Source organism: Homo sapiens, chromosome 12 (assembly GCF_000001405.40).
Source record: "Homo sapiens chromosome 12, GRCh38.p14 Primary Assembly".
NCBI lineage: Eukaryota > Metazoa > Chordata > Mammalia > Primates > Hominidae > Homo > Homo sapiens.
The window spans coordinates 102278992-102300765 of NC_000012.12; the positions used below are offsets into that span (position 1 = coordinate 102278992).

The 21774-nt window shown below is 38.4% G+C and overlaps 1 long non-coding RNA gene across 1 annotated transcript in view; it reads left to right on the forward strand.

The window, feature by feature from the left end:
- Nucleotides 1-582: 582 nt before the first annotated feature.
- LINC02456 (long intergenic non-protein coding RNA 2456) overlaps nt 583-21774 on the forward strand; it is a 432422-nt gene continuing 411230 nt past the window's right edge. Inside the window, exons 1-3 of the long non-coding RNA XR_007063427.1 lie at nt 583-693; nt 2275-2405; nt 3209-3307. This is a non-coding gene — a long non-coding RNA (long intergenic non-protein coding RNA 2456). The remainder of the gene's footprint in view (nt 694-2274; nt 2406-3208; nt 3308-21774) is intronic.

Here is a 21774-nt window from a genome sequence, read left to right on the forward strand (position 1 = left end):
TGGGCTTCATGACTTGCAGTTTTTGGCTCTGTTACTACAAGGTAACTCAACATTTTGTTATTAACAACATGGGCCCAGTTTGGGCTGGTCCCAGAGTTACAGGATCTTTATATTGGTCCATTGTGATTTTATTTATTTTTCAAATTTTTTATAATCACTTTTAAAGTCTTAGATAATAAATAAAATTTAAATGATAGATTCCACTGAAAATAATTAGCCAAAACATAAAGCAGGTAAATTGCACCATTCAAACACATAATTCTTTTTAAACCTAAAAATAAGGAAGAAATACTTAAATCTTAGTTCTTTATTTGTACATAGAACTTTTTAACACTATATATAAATGTGAGAAATCATTTTGGCCAAAAAAGAAGTCAGAAGTCAAAATTCATAAAACAAACCTTAGGAATGTGGAGGTTAAGATATTTTCTGCCCTACCAATTAATTATTATTTATTAAAAGAAGTAGAGAGATCTGTATACATGAACAAAATTGAGACAACATGCAGGTATATCTGTTGACACCACTTAAAAAAACCCACATTTATTTTGAAAGGACTTGTGAACATCCAGTCAATAGAAAAATACATTCAGAAAACACTTACTGAACATTTATGATGTGTCAGACACTGTGTTAGAAACTTGGGAGGCAAAGCTTCTACGTCTAAGAAGCTCAGAGTCAAGTTGGGGGCAGGTAAGCACAAACTTTAAATATTTACAGTATTCTCTCTCTCTCTCTTTCTCTCTCTCTCTTTCTCCTCCCCAACCTGTTTTATCTAAACATGAGTTATACATGATATGTACAAGCTTATACATTCAGTTATGTGTCCCTTAACAGGGATATGTTCAGAGAAATGCATCATTAGGCCATTTCATCATTGCGTGAACATCACAGAGTGTACCATATGTACATAAACCCAGATGGTGTAGTGTGGTGTGGTGTACATAAACCTACTCCACACTTAGGCTATATGGTATAGCCTATTGCTCCTAGGCTACATACCTGTGCAGCATGTTACTGTACTGAATACTTTAGGTGTCTGTAACACAATGGTATTTGGGTATCTACACATATCTAAACATAGAAGAAGTGCAGTAAAAATATGGTATAAAAGATTCAAAAATGGTGCACCTGTATAGGGTACTTACAATAAATGGAACTTGCAGGACTCAAAGTTTCTCTGGGTGAGTCAGTAAGTGAGTAGTGAGTGAATGTGAAGGCCTGGGACATTACTGTACACTACTGTAGACATTATAAACACTGTGCACTTAGGCTACACTAAATTTATTAAAAATACTTTTCTTTATTCAGTAAGTTAACCATAGCTTACTATTAAATTTTTACTTTACAAGCTTTAAAATTTTTTAACTTTTTGATTCTTTTGTAATAACATTTAGCATAAAACATAACATATACACATTGTACAGCTATACAAAAATATTTTCTTTCTTTATATCTTTATTTCATAAGCTTTTTTCTATTTTTAATTTTTTACTTTTTAAAGTTTTTGGTAAAAACTATGGTACAAACACACACATTAGTTTAGGCCTTGTATTAGTCAGGTTCTGTAGAGGGACAGAACTAATAGGAGAGAGATATATAAAGGGAATTTTATTAAGTATTAACTCACATGATCACAAGGTTCTACAATAGGTCACAAGGTTTCACAATACGCCGTCTGCAGGCTGAGGAGCAAGAAGAGCCAGTCTGAGTCCCAAAACTGAAGAACTTGGGAGTCCAATGTTCAAGGGCAGGAAGCATCCAGCACGGGAGAGAGATACAGGCTGGGAGGCTAGGCCAGTCTAGTCTTTTCACGTTATTCTGCCTGCTTTATATTCAGTGGTAGCTGATTAGATGGTGTCCACCCAGATTATGAGTGGGTTTGCCTTCCCCAGCCCACTGACTTAAATGTTAATCTCCTTTGACAACACCCTCACAGACACACTCAGGATCAATACTTTGCATCCTTCAACCCAATCAAGTTGACACTCAGTATTAACCATCACAGACCTATACAAGATAAGGATCATCAATATTGCTGTCTTCCACCTCCACATCTTGTCCCGTTGGAAGGCCTTCAGGGGTATTAGCAGCTCTGTTATAATCTTATGGGACCACTAATGTATATGCAGTTTGTCATTGACCAAAATGTCATTATGTGGCACATGACTGTACTTATATATATCACTTATTTGTGTATACCATATGTCTTTGAATGTATATATGGAAGTTGGTCATGAAGGTAACGTTTGTGTGAAATATTTGCCCTTTTAGTTTCCTGTGGAACCTGGAAGGATCAGGATTCCTGAAAATTTAAACCAGAACTCAGATATTCCAGTAATTGCTCATCAAGTGCCCACTAGTAGCTAAGCATCTGCTACACAACAGCATACAAAGTCTGGAAGGTAATGAAAATAGTGCAAATGGGTTCCCCATTTCTTTTCCAAGAAAAACCTCCTAATGGGTTGCTGATGAGCTAATCAGGTCAAGTGTTCTCTGAGTTGCCCTCTTTCTACAGTCAGCAAGCATAACATTTTGTTAACCTATTGACACAGAGGAAATTTGTTTTCCATCTGACCTTTTACAGTAACTACTCAAAATTACTTTCTCTTCAGCTAACAAAGCTAATGAATAAATTATTCAAGTTTGACACTCATAGAAAATAACATTTTACATTTTTCATTTTTATTCCTGATTATTTTGCTTTCTTTTTCAGCCATTACTTCTTTCCCTATGAAGAGTTTTAATCTTTACGGAAATTTTGCAGTGTTGGTTTAGAGAGTCATACTCGGACTCTCTGGAACTAATCACATTCACAAAATAAGTTTCTTATTTTGCAAATATAACATTTATATATGTTGAAATGGTCACATGATAATTTTGTAAATGCAGATAAATTCCATTAAGAATTTATAACCATTTGTATAAGAATAAAATTTTAACTTTGGGCTACATGTAAACAAAAGGTTTCCTAAGGAAATAGTTATTAGAACAAAAATATTTGGGACATTTTAAACCTGAGAATAAACTCTTCTCCAAGATGGAAAAGTGAATTATAGGTCTTTGTTATTATTCTTTATGAAATCTTAATTCTAAGCATCTCTACTCACTAACATTTTGTTAAATTTATTCCTTTAATAAAAATTTCTTCAAAATTATCTTAATGTCCAGCCTTTTATCTGTCTCAAACTGTCCTTTCACTAAACAGGTCCAAATTGGATGTTTACTTGCAGTGAATATGTTTTTAATGGTTTGTTATATTCAGAGGATCATAACTTCAAAGATGGTCATCAATTAATTCACAAAGGTAAGCTTTTCTTCACTCTTTGTGGTTAGGCCAATTTAAATAATACATGTTAGAGAATGAGCATCTACATATTTCCTCTGCAGACTGACTATTCTAACATTCACTATGCTAAGAGTATTGTTATTTGAGCATCACTAAATGCATTCACCTTCCCAATTTTCAGAGACAAAGTCAAACTCACTCATATTTATCATGAATGTGCATACAATTCTATTAATTTAACATTTTCCATCAATGTAATAAAATAGCAATATTATTTTATACTTGTTAGAAAGATTCTACCAAGAGTATTTTTGATCATCATCAGCAAGTGGTCACTGTTTCTTTTGGAAGATGCTCCTGGTCACTAAAAACTGTATCACTTTAACCACAACCTCGTTAAACTGGGTTCAGAGACTCACAAATTATATCAACAGTAGCATTTCTTTCAGTTGAATTTGCAAAGTAGGCTTTTATTCTCTATGTGTTCCAATATCTACCTTGAACAGTCTTAGAACTAGTTAAAGCATTTATTAAGTACTCTTGTAATGAAGGAAGTAATGATTAATTGATAACTACTTTTGTTATGCTTATAAAACATTTTCCCTAAACTTTACCTTAATTTTGGGGGATTGTGAGGGAAGTCTCCTTTACTTTAATTACTTATCGACCCAGGTATCAGACAGTCATAATATCTTTTTTTTTTAAGCAGGTAAAACTAGACTTTGTATGGGAATTCTTAAGAAATGTCAGAGAGCTGGTCCTGTTGAAAAGTTTAGCAGTTATAGAAAAATATTTCAAAACATAAATGTAGCAGTTTAAACATGATTTGGTGTCCAGAATAACTTGTTGGTCTTATTTTTCATTTTCAACATAAATATCAACTGCCACTGTATAATTGAATCACAAACATATTTGAATTCAGGAATTTTTATACTGAAATATTTCTCTGTGAGCAAATCCCACCTCACCAAACAGAAAGATTTTGTTACTGTTTGTGTGTTCTAAAATCGAGAAAGCCTTATATTATATAATTCTCTGTTGGGTATTTTATGTATCTGTATACTTTTTTATTCCACTTCCCCTGTCATTTTTGTATTCCTCAAAATATCTAGGACAGCATTTTTGCATGCTCGTGTACATTTAAGAATATAGCATAGTGGTTAAAAACTTGGCTTCTGCAACCAGACTGCTTAGGTTCAAATCTTGGCTCCATAACCTTCAGTGCTATGACCTTTGTAATTCACTCAAACCTCCTATGCCTTGGATTTCTCATCTATAAACCAGAAGGTGGATTAACTGTCGGTGGATTAAATGAGTCAGCACATGTAGAACACTTCAAGTAGTAGCTGGTACATATCAGGCTCTTAGTAAACATTAGCTATTATTATTTTTAACAAGTATTAAGCACCTGTTACACTGAAACTGTGCTGTGGGTGCTGGGGATGCCACGATGAACAAGTACTCATCTTTACTTCTATCATAAAATGTAAAGTTTGGTGAAATATTCAGGCAAACACATGGGTCATTGTAATACAGTATGATAACTGCTATCATAGGGTAGTGTAGGGTGCCACAATTGCCTAATGGAGGACCCCTTACCAGACTAAGGGTATCAGGAAAGTTTTTCTGGTCTAAGCAGTGTCTAAGCTGAGATCTGAAGAATGGTGATATAGCTTGTACCCTCCAAATCTCATGTTGAAATTTGATCCCCAGTGTTGAAAGTGGGGTCCAGTGGGAGGTGTTTGGGTTATGGAGGTGGATCCCTCATGAATGGCTTTGTCATTCTTGTGAGACTGAGTGAGTTCACACTCTTATTCCCGTGAGATCTGGTTGTTAAAAAGAGTGCCACCTTCCTCCCACCCCGTCTCTTCCTTCTGCTCTTGCTGTGTGATGCCTCCTCCCTTTGCCTTCTGCCATGAGTGGAAGCTTCCTGATGTCCTTCCCAGACATAGCTGCTCTTGCCATGCTTCTTGTACAGCCTGCAGAACCATGAACCAAATAAACCTCTTTTATTTATAAATTACCTAGTCTCAGGTGTTCCTTTATAGCAATGCAAACAGATTAGACAGATGGGTAGGGGCTTGCCATGTGATAGTGAATGGTGTGGAGGAATGCAGTTTCAAGAAGACAGGGTAGCCAGAGGATCCATGATACAGGGGAAAGAGAGTATGACACATTTAAGGACTTAACAAGGCTCAGTTAAATGCACTATATAGTTCATGACAGGGGATGGTGCACAAACCTCTCTATTCTGAGAAGAATAGGCAATCACTGAAGGTGTAGAAGAGAAGGGTGTCATGTTCATATTTTAGTTTTCAGATCTCTCCAACTCCAGTGTAGGTAATATACTAAAGTGAGTTTAAAAGTTGATATAGGAAGATCAGTTAAAATGCCAGTGCACCATCCAAGAGAAAGATGTTGGAGGCTTGGAACTAGAGTGGTAGGGGTGAATAGAAAAAGAACTTGAGAAATCTAAGAGACGTTTATGGGAAAAGAGTCAGAAGGACTTGGTAATAATACAGTGCTAGATATGGAGTGAGAGTGAGAAAGAAGACCTAAAGATGGATTCCCAGGTTTCTAGATTGAGCATGTGATTGATGCCATCTACTGAGACAGGAAACATTGTCTGTAATGAATGGACAGTGGTTGTGGCTAGTCAGTATATATCCTTGGTAATTATGTCTCAATTGTCAACTAGGAGCAACTCCTGCTCAATCTCAATTCATGTGCTCTTAGATGGAGTTGATTCCACCTCCAGCTCCAAGGGTGGAGCACATGAACCAGATTGGACCAATTAGTGCATCACATTCTCCCAGCCACATGTCAGGGTTGGTCACAGCAACTAAGCTGACACAGTTAGAGTGAGTCTGATAGCTTTGGTGGGACTTGTTGAAAAAGGCATGGGAGTGTGAATTGTTGGAGCTGAAGCAGTTATCTTGAACCCACTAGAGGAATGTCTGCGAGAAAGGAGCCAACGCAGTGGAAAGCAGAGCTGAGAGAGAGAAGAAAATTCTGAGAATGCCCTTTAAGTACTGAATCTAGCTATGCCTATGTCATCCTCTCCCTTGCGCTTTTTCTTTTCTTTTTTTAAATTTAATTTAATTTTAAGTTCCAATATACATGTGCAGGACGTGCAGGTTTGTTACACAGGTAAATGTGCGCCATGATGATTTGCTGCACCTACCAAGCCATCACCTAGGTATTAAGCCCCGCATGCATTAGCTGTTTATCCTGATACTCTCCCTCTCCCGATCCCCCACCCCGACAGGCCCCAGTGTGTGTTGTTCCCCTCCCTGTGTCCATGTGTTCTCATTGTTCTGCTCTCACTTATAAGTGAGAACACGCGGTGTTTGGTTTTCTGTTCCTGTGTTAGTTTGCTGAGGATAATTGCATGTCTAATTTTTTAAGAAACTACCACATTCTTTCCCAAAGTAGTGGAACCATTTAGCTCTCCCACTGGTAGTCTGTGAGAGTTCCAGTTTCAGAAGAAATGGTACCAACTCCTCTTTGTACCTCTGGTAGAATTCAGCTGTAAATCCGTCTGGCTCTGGGTATTTTTTTGGTTAGTAGGCTATTTATTATTGCCTCAGTTTCAGAACTTGTTATTGGTCTATTCAGGGATTCAACTTCTTCCTGGTTCAGTCTTGGGAGGGTGTTTGTGTCCAGGAATTTATCAATTTCTTCTAGATTTTCTAGTTTATTTGCATATAGGTGTTTATAGTATTCGCTGATGGTTGTTCGTATTTCTGTGGGGTCAGTGGTGGTATCCCTCTTATCATTTTTTATTGTGTCTGTTTAATTCTTCTATCTTTTCTTCTTTATTAGTCTAGCTAGCAGTCTATCTTATTAATTTTTTTCAAAAAAACCAGCTCTTGGATCCATTGAATTTTTTGAAGGGTTTTTCATGTTTCTCTCCCCTTCTGTACCACCCTGATCTTGGTTATTTATTTTATTCTGCTAGCTTTGGGGTTTGTTTGCTCTTGGTTCTCTAGTTCTTTTGCTTGTGATGTTAGTGTCAATTTGAGATCTTTGTAGTTTTTTTAATGTGGGCATTTAGTGCTCTAAATTTCCCTCTTAATACTCCTTTAGCTGAATCCCAGAGATTCTGGTACAGTGTCTCTTTGTTCTCATTGGTTTCAAATAACTTCTTGATTTCTGCCTTAATTTCATTATTTACCCAGGAGTCATTCAGGAACAAGTTGTTCAATTTCCATGTAGTTGGGTGGTTTTCAGTGAGTTTCTTAATCTTGAGATCTAATTTGATTCTGCTGTAGTCTGAGAGACTGTTTATTATTATGTCAGTTCTTTTGCATTTGTTGAGGAGTGTTTTACTTCCAGTTATGTGATCAGTTTTAGAGTAAGTGCCATGTGGCACTAAGAAGAATGTATATTTGTTGTTTTTGGGTGGAGATTTCTGTAGATATCTATCAGTTCCATTTGATCCAGAGCTGAGTTCAAGTCCTCAATATCCTTGGTAATTTTCTGTCTCAATAATCTGTCTAATATTAACAGTGGGGTATTAAAGTCTCCCACTATTATTGTGTGGGAGTCTAAGTCTCTCTGTAGGTCTCTAAGAACTTGTGTTATGAATCTGGGTGCTCCTGTATTGGGTGCATATATATTTAGGATAGTTAACTCTTCTTGTTGAATCGAACCCTTTACCATTATGTAATGCTCTCTTTGTCCTTTTTGATATTTTTTGGTTTAAAGTCTGTTTTGTCAGAAACTAGGATTGCAACCCCTGCTTTTTTCTGCTTTCCATTTGCTTGGTAAATTTTCCTCCATCTCTTTATTTTGAGCCTATGTGTGTCTTTGCACATGAGATGGGTCTTTTCAATACAGCACACTGATGGGTCTTGACTCTTTATCCAGCTTGCTATTCTGTGTATTTTAATTGGGGAATTTAATCCATTTACATTTAAGGCTAATATTGTTATGTATAAATTTGATCCTGCCATCATTATGCTAGCTGATTATTTTGTAGGCTTGTTGATATAGTTGCTTCACAGTGTCATTGGCCTTTGTACTTCAGTGTATTTTTGCAGTGGCAGGTACCATTTTTTCCTTTCCACATTTAGTGCTTCCTTTAGGAGCTCTTACAAGGCCAGCCTGGTGGTGACAGACTCCATCAGCATTTGCCTGTCTGAAAGAGATTTTATTTCTCCTTCACTTATGAAGCTTAGTTTGCCCAGATTTGAAATTCTGGGTAGGAAATTACTTCCTTTAAGAATGTTGAATATTGCCCCCTATCTCCTCTGGCTTATAGGGTTTCTGCTGAGAGGGCCACTGTTAGTCTGATGGGGTTCTCTTTGTAGGTGACCTGACCTTTCTCTCTTGCTGCCCTTAACATTTTTTCCTTCATTTTGACCTTGGAGATTCTGATGATTATGTGTTTTGGGGTTGATCTTCTCATGGAGTATCTTACTGGAGTTCTCTGGATTTCCTGAATTTGAATGTTGACCTGTCTTGCTAGGTTGGGGAAGTTCTCCTGGATGAGATCCTGAAGTATGTTTTCCAACTTGGTTCCATTCTCCCTGTCTCTTTCATGTACCCCAATCAGTTGTAGGTTTGGTCTTCTTACATAACCCCATAGTTCTCGGAGGTTTTGTTTGTTCCTTTTCATTCTTTTTTCTCCAAACTTGTCCGCCTGTCTTATTTCAGCAAAATTGTCTTCAAGCTTTGAAATTCTTTCCTCCACTTGGTCCATTTGGCTATTGATACTTGTGGTTGCATTGTGAAGTTCTTGTGTTGTGTTCTTCAGCTTCATCAGGTCATTTATGTTCCTCTCTAGACTGGTTATTCTGGATAACAGCTCCTGTAATGTTTTATCATGGTTCTCAGCTTCTTGCATTGGGTTAGAACACACTGCTTTGGATCAGAAAAGTTCATTATTACCCACCTTTTTTTTTATTATTATACTTTAAGTTTTAGGGTACATGTGCACAACATGCAGTTTTGTTACATATGTATACATGTGCCATGTTGGTGTGCTGCACCCATTAACTCGTCATTTAATATTAGGTATATCTCCTAATGCTATCCCTCCCCGCTTCCCCAACCCCACAACAGGCCCTGGTGTGCGATGTTCCCCTTACTGTGTCCATGTGTTCTGATTGTTCAGTTCCCACCTATGAGTGAGAACATGTGGTGTTTAGTTTTTTGGCCTTGCGATAGTTTGCTGAGAATGACGGTTTCCAGCTTCATCCATGTCCCTACAAAGGACATGAACTCATCATTTTTATGGCTGCATAGTATTCCATGGTGTATATGTGCCACATTTTCTTAATCCAGTCTATCATTGTTGGACATTTGGGTTGGTTCCAAGTCTTTGCTATTGTGAATAGTGTCGCAATAGACATATGTGTGCGTGTGTCTTTATAGCAGTATGATTTATAATCCTTTGGGTATATACCCAGTAATGGGATGGCTGGGTCAAATGGTATTTCTAGTTCTAGATCCCTGAGGAATCGCCACACTGATTTCCACAATGGTTGAACTAGTTTACAGTCCCACCAACAGTGTAAAAGTGTTCCTATTTCTCCACATCCTCTCCAGCACCTTTTGTTTCCTGACTTTTTAATGATTGCCATTCTAACTGGTGTGAGATGGTATCTCATCGTGGTTTTGATTTGCATTTCTCTGATGGCCAGTGATGATGAGCATTTTCTCTTGTGTCTTTTGGCTGCATAAATGTCTTCTTTTGAGTATTACCCACCGTTTGAAGCCTTTTTCTGTCAATTCATCCATCTCAGCCTCCGCCCAGTTCTGTGTCCTTGCTGGAGAGGTGTTCCAATCATTTGGAGGAGAAGAGGCACTCTGGCTTTTTTGAGTTTTCAGCATATTTTTTCATTGATTCTCATCTTTGTGAGTTTATCCAGCTTGATCTTTGAGGCTGCTGACCTTTGGGTGGGGTTTTGGTGGGGACTGTTTTGTTAATGCTGTTGTTGTTGTTGCTTTCTGTTTTTCTTTTGAGAGCCAGGCCCCTCTTTTGTAGGGCTGCTGCAATTTGCTGGGGATCCTCTCCAGACCCTATTTACCTGGGTCCCTCCCACACCTGGAGGTATCACCAGTGGAAGCTGCAGAACAGCAAAGATGGCTGCCTGCTCCTTCCTCTAGGAGATCAGTCCCAGAGGGGCACCAACATGATGCCATTGGGAACACACTCCTGTATAAGGTGTCTGGAGACCCCCGTTGGGGGGTCTCACCCAGTCAGGAGGCATGGGTTCAGGGACCCACTTAATAAAGCACTCTGGCTGCCCCTTGGCAGAGGGGGTGCGCTGTGCTGGGGGGAATCCCAGTCACCGGACTGCCCAGATTCCTCAGAGCCGGCGGGGGAAAGACTAAGTTGGCTGATCTGTGGAGACCATGGTTTCCCCTTCCCTCAGGGACTCTGACATGGTTTGGCTGTGTCTTCACCCAAATCTTATCTTGAATTCCCATGTGTTGTGGGATGAACCCAGTGGGAGGTAATTGAATCATGGGGGGCAAGTCTTTCCCCGTGCTGTGAATAAGTCTTTCTCATGATAGTGAATAAGTCTCATGAGATCTGATGGTTTTAAAAATGGGAGTTTCTCTGAACAAGCTCTCTTTCTTTGCCTTCTGCCATCCATGTAAAATGTGACTTGCTCCTCCTTGCCTTCTGCCATGACTGTGAGGCCTCCCCAGGCATGTGGAAATGTAAGTCCCTTAAACTTTTGTTTGTAAATTGCTCAGTCTTGGGTGTGTCTTTATCAGCAGTATGAGAACAGACTAATACAGTAAATTGGGACCAGTAGAGTGGGGCACTACTGAAAAGATACCTGAAACTGTGGAAGCGACTTTGGAACTATATAACAGGCAGAGGTTGGAACAGTTTGGAGGGTTCAGAAGAACACAAGACAATGTGGGAAAGTTTGGAACTCCTTAGAGATATGTTGAATGGCTTTGACAAAAATGCTGATAATGATATGGACAATGAGATCTAGGCTGAGGTGGTCTCAGATGGAGATAAGGAACTTGTTGGGACTGGAGCAAAGTGACTCTTGTTATGTTTTAGCAAAGAGACTGGCGGCATTTTGTCCCTGCCCTAGAGATTTGTGGAACTTTGAACTGAGAGAGATGATTTGGGGTATCTGGTGGAAGAAATTTATAAGCAGCAAAGCATTCAAGAGGTGACTTGGGTGTGTTAAAGTCATTCAGTTTAATAAGGGAAGCAGAACATAACAGTTCAGAAAATTTGCAGCCTGACAATGTGATTGAAAAGAAAATCCCATTTCCTAAGAAGAAATTCAAGCTGGCTGCAGAAATTTGCATAAGTAACGAGGAGCCAAGTGTTAATCCCCAAGACTGTGGGGAAAATACCTCCAGGGCATGTCAGAGGTCTTCACAGCAGCCCCTTGCATCATAGGCCCAGAGGCCTAGGAGGAACAAGTGATTTCATGGGCCGGGCCAAGGGTTCCAATGCTGCGTGCAGCCTAGAGACTGGTTGCCCTGTGTTCCAGATGCTCCAGCCATGGCTGAAAGGGGCCAATGTAGAGTTTGGGCCATAGCTTTAGAGGGTGCAAGCCCCAAGCCTTGGCAGCTTCTATGTAGTGTTGAGCCTGTGAGTGCACAGATGTCAAGAATTAGGGTTTGGGAACCTCTGCCTAGATTTCAGAAGTTGTATGAAAATGCCTGGATGCCCAGGCAGAAGTTTGCTGCAGGGGTGGGGTCCTCATGGAGAACCTCTGCTAGGGCAGTGTGGAAGGAAAACGTATGGATTGGAGCCCCCATACAGAGTCCCTGCTGAGACACTGCCTAGTGGAGCTGTGAGAAGAGGGCCACAATCCTCCAGACCCCAGAATGGCAGATCCACTGACAGCTTGCACCATGTGCCTGGAAAAGCTGCAGACCCTCAATGCCAGCCCGTGAACGCAGCTGGGAGGGAGGCTGTACCCTTCAAAACCACAGGGGTGAAGCCACCCAAGACCATAGGAACCCACCTCTTGCATCAGCGTGACCTGGATGTGAGACATGGAGTCAAAGGAGATCATTTTGGAGCTTTACAATTTGACTGCTCCACTGGGTTTTGGACTTGCATGGGGCTTGTAGCCCCTTTGTTCTGGCCAATTTCTCCTATTTGGAATGGCCATATTAACCCAATGCCTGTACCCCCATTGTATCTAGGAAGTAACTAACTTGTTTTTGATTTTACAGGCTCATAGGTGGAAGGCATTTGCCTTGTCTCAGATGAGACTTTGGACTGTGGACTTTTAAGTTAATGCTGAAATGAGTTAAGACTTTGAGGGACTGTTGGGAAGGCATGATTGTTTTTGAAATGGGAGGACATGTGATTTGGGAGGGTCCAGGGGCAGAATGATATGGTTTGGTTGTGTACCCACCCACATATCATCTTGAATTCCCGTATGATCTGGGAGGGACCCAGTGGGAGGTAATTGAATCATGGAGATGAGTCTTTCCCCATGCTGTTCTCATGACAGTGAATACGTCTCATGAGATCTGATGGTTTTAAAAATGGGAATTTCCCTGAACAAGCTCTCTTTCTTTGCCTGTTGCCATCCATGTTAAGACGTGAGTTGGTCCTCCTTGCCTTCTGCCATGATTCTGAAGCCTCCCCAGCCATGTGGAACTGTAAGTCCATTAAACCTCTTTCTTTTGTAAATTGCCCAGTCTTGGGTATGTCTTTATCAGCAGCATGAGAACAGACTAATACAGGCTCCATTCCAGGGAGATTAGAGTTCTGTCTGTAAACCGCTGGCTGGAGTTGCTAAAATTCCTTTAGGGAGGCCCTGCCCAGTGAGGAGGGATGGGTCAGGGTCCAGCCTAAAGAGGCAGTCTGGCCACAATCTGCCACAGCCACTGTGCTGTGCTGTGCTGTGGGGAATTTTCCCTAGGTTCGAACCTCCCAGTCTTCCTGAGTCCAGCAGGGGAAACAGGCAGACTAGAGCTGCAGTGATGGCTGCCGCCTCTCTTGCCTGGAGCTCCATTGTCTTAGTCATCTTAGGCAGCAGACAATTGCAGTGATGGTGTCCACCCTTCCCCTCAGGAGTTCAGTAGTCTTAGGCAGTCTCTAGCAGAGTGGCTGCTGAGAATCTTTACAGCTCTCTGCTTGGGACCCAAGAGCCTGGTGGCATGGGCTCACGAGGGGGTCTCTTGATCAGTGGGTTGAACGGATCTGTGGAAAAAGCATAGTTTCCTGGGCAGGTTAGCACACTCAGTCACCGCTTCCCTTGGCTGGGGGTGGGAGCTCTCCTTGCCCTGGGTGGCTCCCAGGTGGCCCATCGTACCACCCTGCTTTTTCTTGCTCTCTTTGGGTCACACCAATCACCTAGTCAGTCCCAGTGAGAGAACCTGGATACGTCAGTTGTCAGTGCAGGATTCACTCGCTGTTTTCATTCTTCTCAGTGGGAGCCTCTGACCACAGCTGTTTCTAGTCAGTCATCTTGGCCCCACCCCCTGCACCTTTTCTTTTATGTGCACTAATAAGTTGTTTTTTGGCTTAAGCCAGATAGGTTTTTAAATATATACACTTTCAAAAATATATAAGACACCACATATGAAGGAACTAGTTGTGGAGGTAGAGGTTGAATTCAGCCTTGGCTATGTTGAGCTTGAGGTGTTTGTGAGACATCTTTATAGAAAAGAGATATCCGGTAGGAAATTAGATATGTGGATAGAAAGTTAACAATACCTTATACAGTCTTTGGTAAAAATTTTTAGAGAGTCCTTTTGTAATGCATGCAGAAAAGATCTTCACAAAATGCTGACCTCTCCTGTAGAACCACCTAGACCCAAAGGATTTGAAGGAAGCAATTCTTTATTTTCAGTTTTTTCAAGGATTATTAGTCTATTCAGAGTTTCTACTCCTAGATGCAACATTTACAATGAATGTCCATTTCATTTCCAATTTACCTTCTAGTTGTGATGAACTGTGTAATGGCCCCTCAAAGATATCTAATTCCTGGAACCTGTGAATGTTAATTTGTTTGTTAAAAGGGACTTTTCAAGGTGCGATTAAGGTAAGGATTTTGAGATGGGGTGATTATCCTTGGTTATCCAGGCAAGCCCAGTGTAATCACAAGGGTTCTCATAAGAGAGAAGGTGATGTGCTGACCGAAGCAGAGATTGGAGTGATGCATTTTGCAGATGGAGAAATGGGCCAAAAGCAAAGAGTACTGGTGGCCTCTAGAAACTGGAAAAGACAAGGGAACAAATTCTGTCCTAAGGCTTCCAGGAAGAACGTGGCCCTGCCAGCACCTTTATTTTATACCAGTGAAACTGATCCAGACTCCTCTCCTCCAAAACTGTAAGAAATTAATTTTGTGGTGTTTTAATACACCAAGATCTCTGAAACTTTTTTACAGCAGCCCCACTGAGGCTGTTAGGGTGAGCCCTAGTCCAATCTGACTAGTATCCTTTCAGGGAACTAACACCCCACTGTAATATGATATTTATATATTTCTTTCTATGTATATATCTCAAATTTAACAGCTTTCTTGAGTATAATTCACATACCATAAAATTTATCCAAGTATAAAATTCAATTATTTTTTATTATATACAGAGGTATGCATAACCATATCTGCAGTCAATTTTAGAACCTTTCAATCACCACAAAAAGATAACCCATGTACTTTAGCTATCTTCTGCCTGTCCACCAGTTTCCATATCCCTAAGCAGCTACTAATCTACTTTCTGTCTCTATAGATTTTCCAGTTTTAGACAATTCATATAGATGGAATCATATATAACACGAGGCCCTTGTGATCAGCTTATTTCACTTAGTGTAATGTTTTCAAAGTTCATCCACATTGTAGCATTTATCAGTACTTTATTCCTGTTTTTGGTTTTGAGACAGAGTCTGGCTCTGTTTCCCAGGCTAGAGTGCAGTGGCACGATTTCAGCTCACTGCAGCCTCCACCTCCTGGGCTCAAGCCATCCTCCTACCTCAGCCTCCTGAGTAACTGGGACTATAGGCGTGCACCACTCCATCCAGCTAATTGTTTTTGTAGAAATGGGGTTTCCCCATGTTGCCCAGGATGATCTGCAACTCCTTGGCCTTCCGAAGTGCTGAGATTATTTCCTTTTATAGATGAATATTATCCCACTATATAGACACAACACATTTTTATGTATCCATTAATTAGCTGATGGAAAAGTTTTTATGTAGACATATGATTTCATTCCTCTTGGGTATATATCGATAAGTAGAACTACTGGGTCATATGGTAACCCTAAGTTTAACTGTTTGAAGAACTTTCAGATTGTTTTCCAAAGGCTACATCATTTTGCATCCCTACCAGCAGTATATGAGCATTCCGATTCCTCCATATCTTCTCCAACATTGTTATTATATGACTTTTTGATTCTAGGCATCCTACTGGGTATAAAGTGATATCTCATTAAGGTTTTGATATGCATTCCCATTATAATGGTTATGACCTGAATTATCTTCCCCAAACTTCCTGGGTTCATATGTTGAATCCCTTATCTCCTGTATTTCAGAATGTGACTGTGTTTGGAGATAGGGCCTTTTAAATAGGTAATTAAGTTAAAATGAGGCTGTTAGGGTGAGCCCTAGCCCAATCTGACTGATATCCTTATAAGAAGAGAAGATTAGGACAAATAGAGAGACACCAGGGATCTATGTGCACAAAAGAAAGACCATGTGAAGACAGAGCAAGAAGACAAACATATGCAAGCCAAAGAGAAGGGCCTCAGAAGAAAGAAAACCTGCTGACACCTTGATCTTGTTCTTCTAGATTCCAGAACTGTGAAAAAATTTTTTTCTGCCACCTGCTCTATGGTATTTTGTTATGGCAGCCCCAGGAAACTCATGACTAATGATGTCAAGCATTTTTTTCTTGTGTTTATTGGCCATTTGTATATTTTCTGTGGATAAATGTTTTCTGAGATTGCTCATTTTAAAATTGTCTTCTTATTGTTGAATTGTTGAGTTGTAAGAGTTCTTATATATTCTGCATACTATGCCCTTAGCAGACATATGATTTGCAAATATTTCCTCTAATTCTGTGGGTTTTCTTTTACCTTGTTGATAGTTCCTTTGATGCACAAAAGTTTTTAATTTTAATTAAAGCCAACTTATCTAATTTTTCATTTCTTGCTCATGCTTTTGGTGTCATATCCATTTCAAAATCCAAGGCATGAAGATATTTCCTTTATATTTTCTTCTGAGAGTTTTATAGTTTTAGCTGTTACGTGTATATTCTTAATCCATCTTGGATTAATTATTACCTATGGTGTGAGGTAAGGGCCCATTTTTTTTTTTTTTTTTGGCATGTGGCTATGTAGTTGTTTTAGCAATGATTTGTTGAAAGAGCTATTCTTTCACTATTGAATTGTCTTGACACCTTTGTAAAAAATAAGTTGACTAAAGACACATGGTTTTATTCTGGACTCCCAGTTCTTTTTATTTATTTTATTTTATCCACAGGGTGTATATGTGCTTGTTTGTTACATCGGTATATTGTGTACTGGTGGGGACTGGGCTTCTAGTTTACCCATTACCCAAATGGTGAACACTGTACCTGATAGATAGTTTTTTATCCCTTGCTCCCCTCCACAACCTCCTCTCATTTGGAGTCTCTAGTGTCTATTATTTCCATCTTTAGGTCCATGTGTATCCATTGTTTAGCTCCCTATTGTAAGTGAGAACATGTGGTATTTGATTTTCTGTTTCTGAGTTAGTTCACTTAGTATAATGGCCTCCAGCTCCATCCATGTTGCTGCAAAGGACATAATTTCATTCTTTATGGCTACGTAGTATCCCATCGTGTATGTATGCCACATTTTCTTTATCTGGTCAACTGTTGATGGACACTTAGGTTGCTTCCATGACTTGGCTATTGTGAATAATGCTGCAATGAACATACAAATACGGATGCCTTTTTGATATGATTGTTTCCTTTTCTTTGGGTGGATAGCCAGTAGTGGGATTGCTGGGTCCAGTGGTAGTTCTATTTTTAGTTATTTGAGAAATCTCCATACTGTTTTCCATGGAGGTTGAACTAGTTCAAATTCTCACCAATAATGTACAAATGTTCCCTTTTCTCCACATCCATGCCATTTATTGTTTTTTCACCTTTTAATAGTAGCCATTCTGACTGGTATAAGATGATATTCTGATTTTAATTTGCAATTCTCTGATGATTGCTGATGTTAAGCACTTTTTCATGTGTTTGTTGGCTGCTTGTATTTTTTCTTTTGAGAAATGTCTATTCATATTCTTCTCCCAAGTTTTAATGGGGTTGTTATTTTCTTGTTGAGTTATTTATATTCCTTATAGATTCTGGATATTAGTCCTTTGTCAGAGGCATAATTTGCAAATATTTTCTCTCATTTGGTGGGTGGTCTGTTTACTCTGTTGATTATTTCTTTTGCTTTTTAGTTTAATTAAGTCCAATTTGTCTATTTTCATTCCTGTTACATTTGCCTTTGGGATCTTCATCATAAAATTATTTGCCTATGCCAATGTCCAGAATAGTTTTTTCTATGTTTTCTTCTAGGATTTTTATAGTTTCAGGTCTTACATTTAAATCTTTAATCCATCTTGGGTTAATTGTTGTATATGGTGAGAGATAGAGGTCCAGTTTCATTCTTCTGCATATGGCTAGCCAATTTTCCCAGCACTATTTATTGAATAGGGTGTCCTTTCACCATTGTTTATCTTTGTTGACTTTGTCAAAAATCAGTTGATTGTTAGTTTGTGGCTTTATATCCAGGTTTTCTATTCCGTTCCATTGATATTTGTGCCATTTTTGTACTAGTATCATGCTGTTTTAGTCAATGTAGCCTTGTATTATAATTTGAAGTCAGGCAATGTGATGCCTCCAGATTTGTTCATTTTGCTTAGGATTTCTTTGGCTATTCAGGCTCTTTTTTGATTCCATGTGAACTTTAGAATTTTTTTCTAATTCTGTGGAATATGACATTGGTAATTTGATAGGAGTTGAATGTGTAGATTAATTTAAGCAGTATGGTAATTTTAACAATACTGATTCTTCCAATCCATGAGTGTGGGATGTTTCCCCATTTGTGTTATCTATGATTTATTTCAACAGTATTTTGTAGTTTTCCTTGTAGAGATCTTTCACCTTCTTGATTAAATTAATTGCTAGGTATTTTGTGTGTGTGTGTGTGGCTATTGCCAATGAGATTGAGTTCTTGATTTGGCGCTCAGCTTAAATGTTATTGGTGTATAGAAATGCTGTCGATTTATGTATGTTTATTTTGTATATTGAAATTTGTTTATCAAGTCTAGGGGTTTTTGGAGGAGTCTTTAGGGTTTTCTAGGTATATGGTCATGTGATCAGTGGGCAGAGATAATTTGACTTCCTCTTTTCCAATTTGGATGCTTTTTTTCTTTTACCTGATTGCTCTGAGTAGTGCTCCTAGTACTATGTGCAATAGGAATGCTGAGATTGGATATGCTTGTCTTGTTCCAGTTCTTAAAGGTAATGCAATCAACTTTTTTCCATTTAGTATAATGTTGACTGTGGGTTTGTTGTAGGTGGGTCTTATATTTTTAGGTACTTTTTTATTTTTATTTTTATTTTTTTTAGAGGAATAAAATAGTGGCTACTCCATAGGCAGAGCAGCCAGGTATGGTCTTTTGATGCCTAGTTTGTTGAGGGTTTTTATTATGAAGGGACTTTGGATTTTATTGAATGCCTTTTTTCATGTATTGAGATAATCATATGGTTTTTCTTTTTAGTTTTGTATGTGTGATGAATCACCCTTTTCAATTTGCAGATGTTAAACCGTACTTGCATCCCAGAAATAAAACCCACTTGATCATAATTAATTATTTTTCTGATGTGCTGTTGGATTCAGTTTGCTGGTTTTTTCTTGAGAATTTTTGCCTCTATACTCATCAGAGATATTAGTCTGTAGTTTGCTTTTCTGTGTGCGTGTACTGGCCTGATTTTGGTGTCATGATGATACTGGTTTCATTGAATGAGTCACAGAGGAATCCCTCCTCCTTGAGTTTTTGGAATATTTTCAGTAAGATTGGTAGCAGCTCTTCTCTGTGTATCTGGTGAAATTTGGCTATGAATCTCTCCGGTCCTGGGCTTTTATTTGTTGAAAGATTTTTTTATTACTCACTCAATTTCATTACTTATTATTGGTCTGTTCAGGATCTCTATTTATTCCTGGTTCAATCTTGGAGGGTTGTAGGTTTCCAGGAATTTATCAATTTCCTCTAGGTTTTCTAGTTTGTGTGCATAGAGGTGTTTATAGTAGTCTCTGAGGATCTTTTGTATTTCTGTGGCATCATTTTTAATGTCCCTTTTCTCATTTCTGATTATAATTATTTGAATCTCTCTTTCTTGGTTAATCTAGCTAGCAATCTATCAATTTTGTTTATCCTTTTAAAAAACTAACTTTTTGTCGCATTGATTCATTATGTCTTTAAAAATAATCTCAATCTCATTTAGTTCTGCTTTGATCTTTGTTATTTCTTTTCTGCTACTAGTTTTGGGTTTGGATTATTATTATTTTTCTAGTTCCTTGAGGTTCAATGTTAGGTTGTTAATTTGAGATTTTTCTATCTTTTTTTATAAGGGCATTTAATGCTACAGAATTTCCTCTTAGCACTGCTTTTGCTGTATACTAGAGATTTTAGTATGTTGTGTCTCTATTTTTATTTGTTTCAAGAAGTCTTTCAATTTCTGCCTTAATTTATTATTTACCCAAAGGTCATTTGGGAGCAAGTAGTTTTGCTTTCATGTACTTGTGTAGTTTTGAGAGTTCCTCTTGGTATTGATTTATAATTTTATTCTACTGTGATCTGAGAAGATACTTGTTATTATTTTGATTTTCTGAGTTTATTGATACTTGCTTTATGGGCAAATATATAGTCAATTTTGGAATATATTCCATGTGGAGGTGAGAAGAATGTATATTCTGTTAGATAAAATGTTCTGTGAATCTCTATTAGATTCATTTGGTCTACATCCCAGTTGAAGTCCAGAGTTTCTTTGTTGATTTTCTGCCTTGATGATCTGTCTAGTGATGTCAGTGGGGTGCTGAAGTCCCCCACTCTTATTATATTGCTATCAATATGTTTTCTTAGGTCTAGTAGTATTTATTTTATGAATCTGGGTGCTCCAGTGTTGGGTGCAGATATATTTAGGATAGTTAAATCTTCCTGTTGTATTGACTTCTTTATCATTTTATAATGACCTTTTTTGCCCCCTTTTTTTTTTAACTGTTGTTGGTTTAAAGTCTGTTTTATTTGATTGAGGATGACTACTCTCTCTTGCTTTTGTTTTCCATTTGCGTGATATATCTTTTTCAACCCATTTACTTTGATTCTATAGCTGTCTTTAGCCAGTATGTATGTCTCTTGTAGGCAGTACATGTTTGGGTTTTCCTTTTTTATACAGTTTGCCACTCTGTATCTTTTAAGTGGAGCATTTAGGCCACATACATTCAAGGTTAATATTGATATGTGAGGTTTTGTTTCTATCATGTTGTTGTTAGCTGATTGCCTTGGGATTTCAATTGTGTAATTGCTTTATAAGGTCTGTGAGCTTTTTACTTATGTGATCTTTTATGATGGTGAATGTTGTTGTTTAATTTCCATGTTTAGAACTCCTTTGAGGTTGGGCAGTGGCTCATGCCTGTCATTCCAGCACTTTGGGAAGCTAAGTGGGAGGATTGCTTGAGGCCAAGAGTTTTAGACCAGCCTGGTCAACATAGTGAGACACCATCTCTACTAAAACAACAACAACAAAAACAAAACTCCTTCGAGCATTTCTTGGAGGACCAGTCTAGTGTTGATGAATTCCCTATTTCTCCTTGATTTATGAAGCTTAATCTGACAGGATATAAAATTATTGGGTGGCATTTTTTTTTCTTTAAAGATGCTAAAAATAGACCCCCAATCTCTTCTGGATTGTAAGTTTTCTGCTGAGAAGACAGCTACTAGTCCGATATGATTATATATATATAAATGCAATTAGACACTTCTCTCTTGCCATTCAGGATTATTTTGTTTACATTGACTTTGGATAGTCTTGGTGAAGTTCTTGCAATGTATTATCCAGAAATTCTCTGAGCTTCTTGTATCTGGATGTCAAAATCTCTCCTAAAACCAGGGAAGTTTTCTTGAAGTATTTCTGCAAATAGGTTTTTCACACTTTTTGCTTTTTCTTCTTCTCCCTCTGGAATACCTATAACTTACAGGTTTGTACACTTTTATATTTCACAAAGGCTTTGTTCATTAAAAAAAATTTTTTAAATATTATGTCTGACTGAGTTAATTTGAAAGACCTGTCTTCCAGCTCTGAAATTCTTTCTTCCACTTGGCCTATTGTTAACACTTTCAATGTATTTTGTAACTCCTTGACTGAATCTTTTATTTCTAGAAGTTTTGTGTGTGTGTATTTTTTTAAATGACATTTATCTCTTCTTTCATGTCCTAAATTGCTTTTCTATTTGTATGGGTTTTCTGCTTTTTCTTGGATCTCACTGAGCTTCTT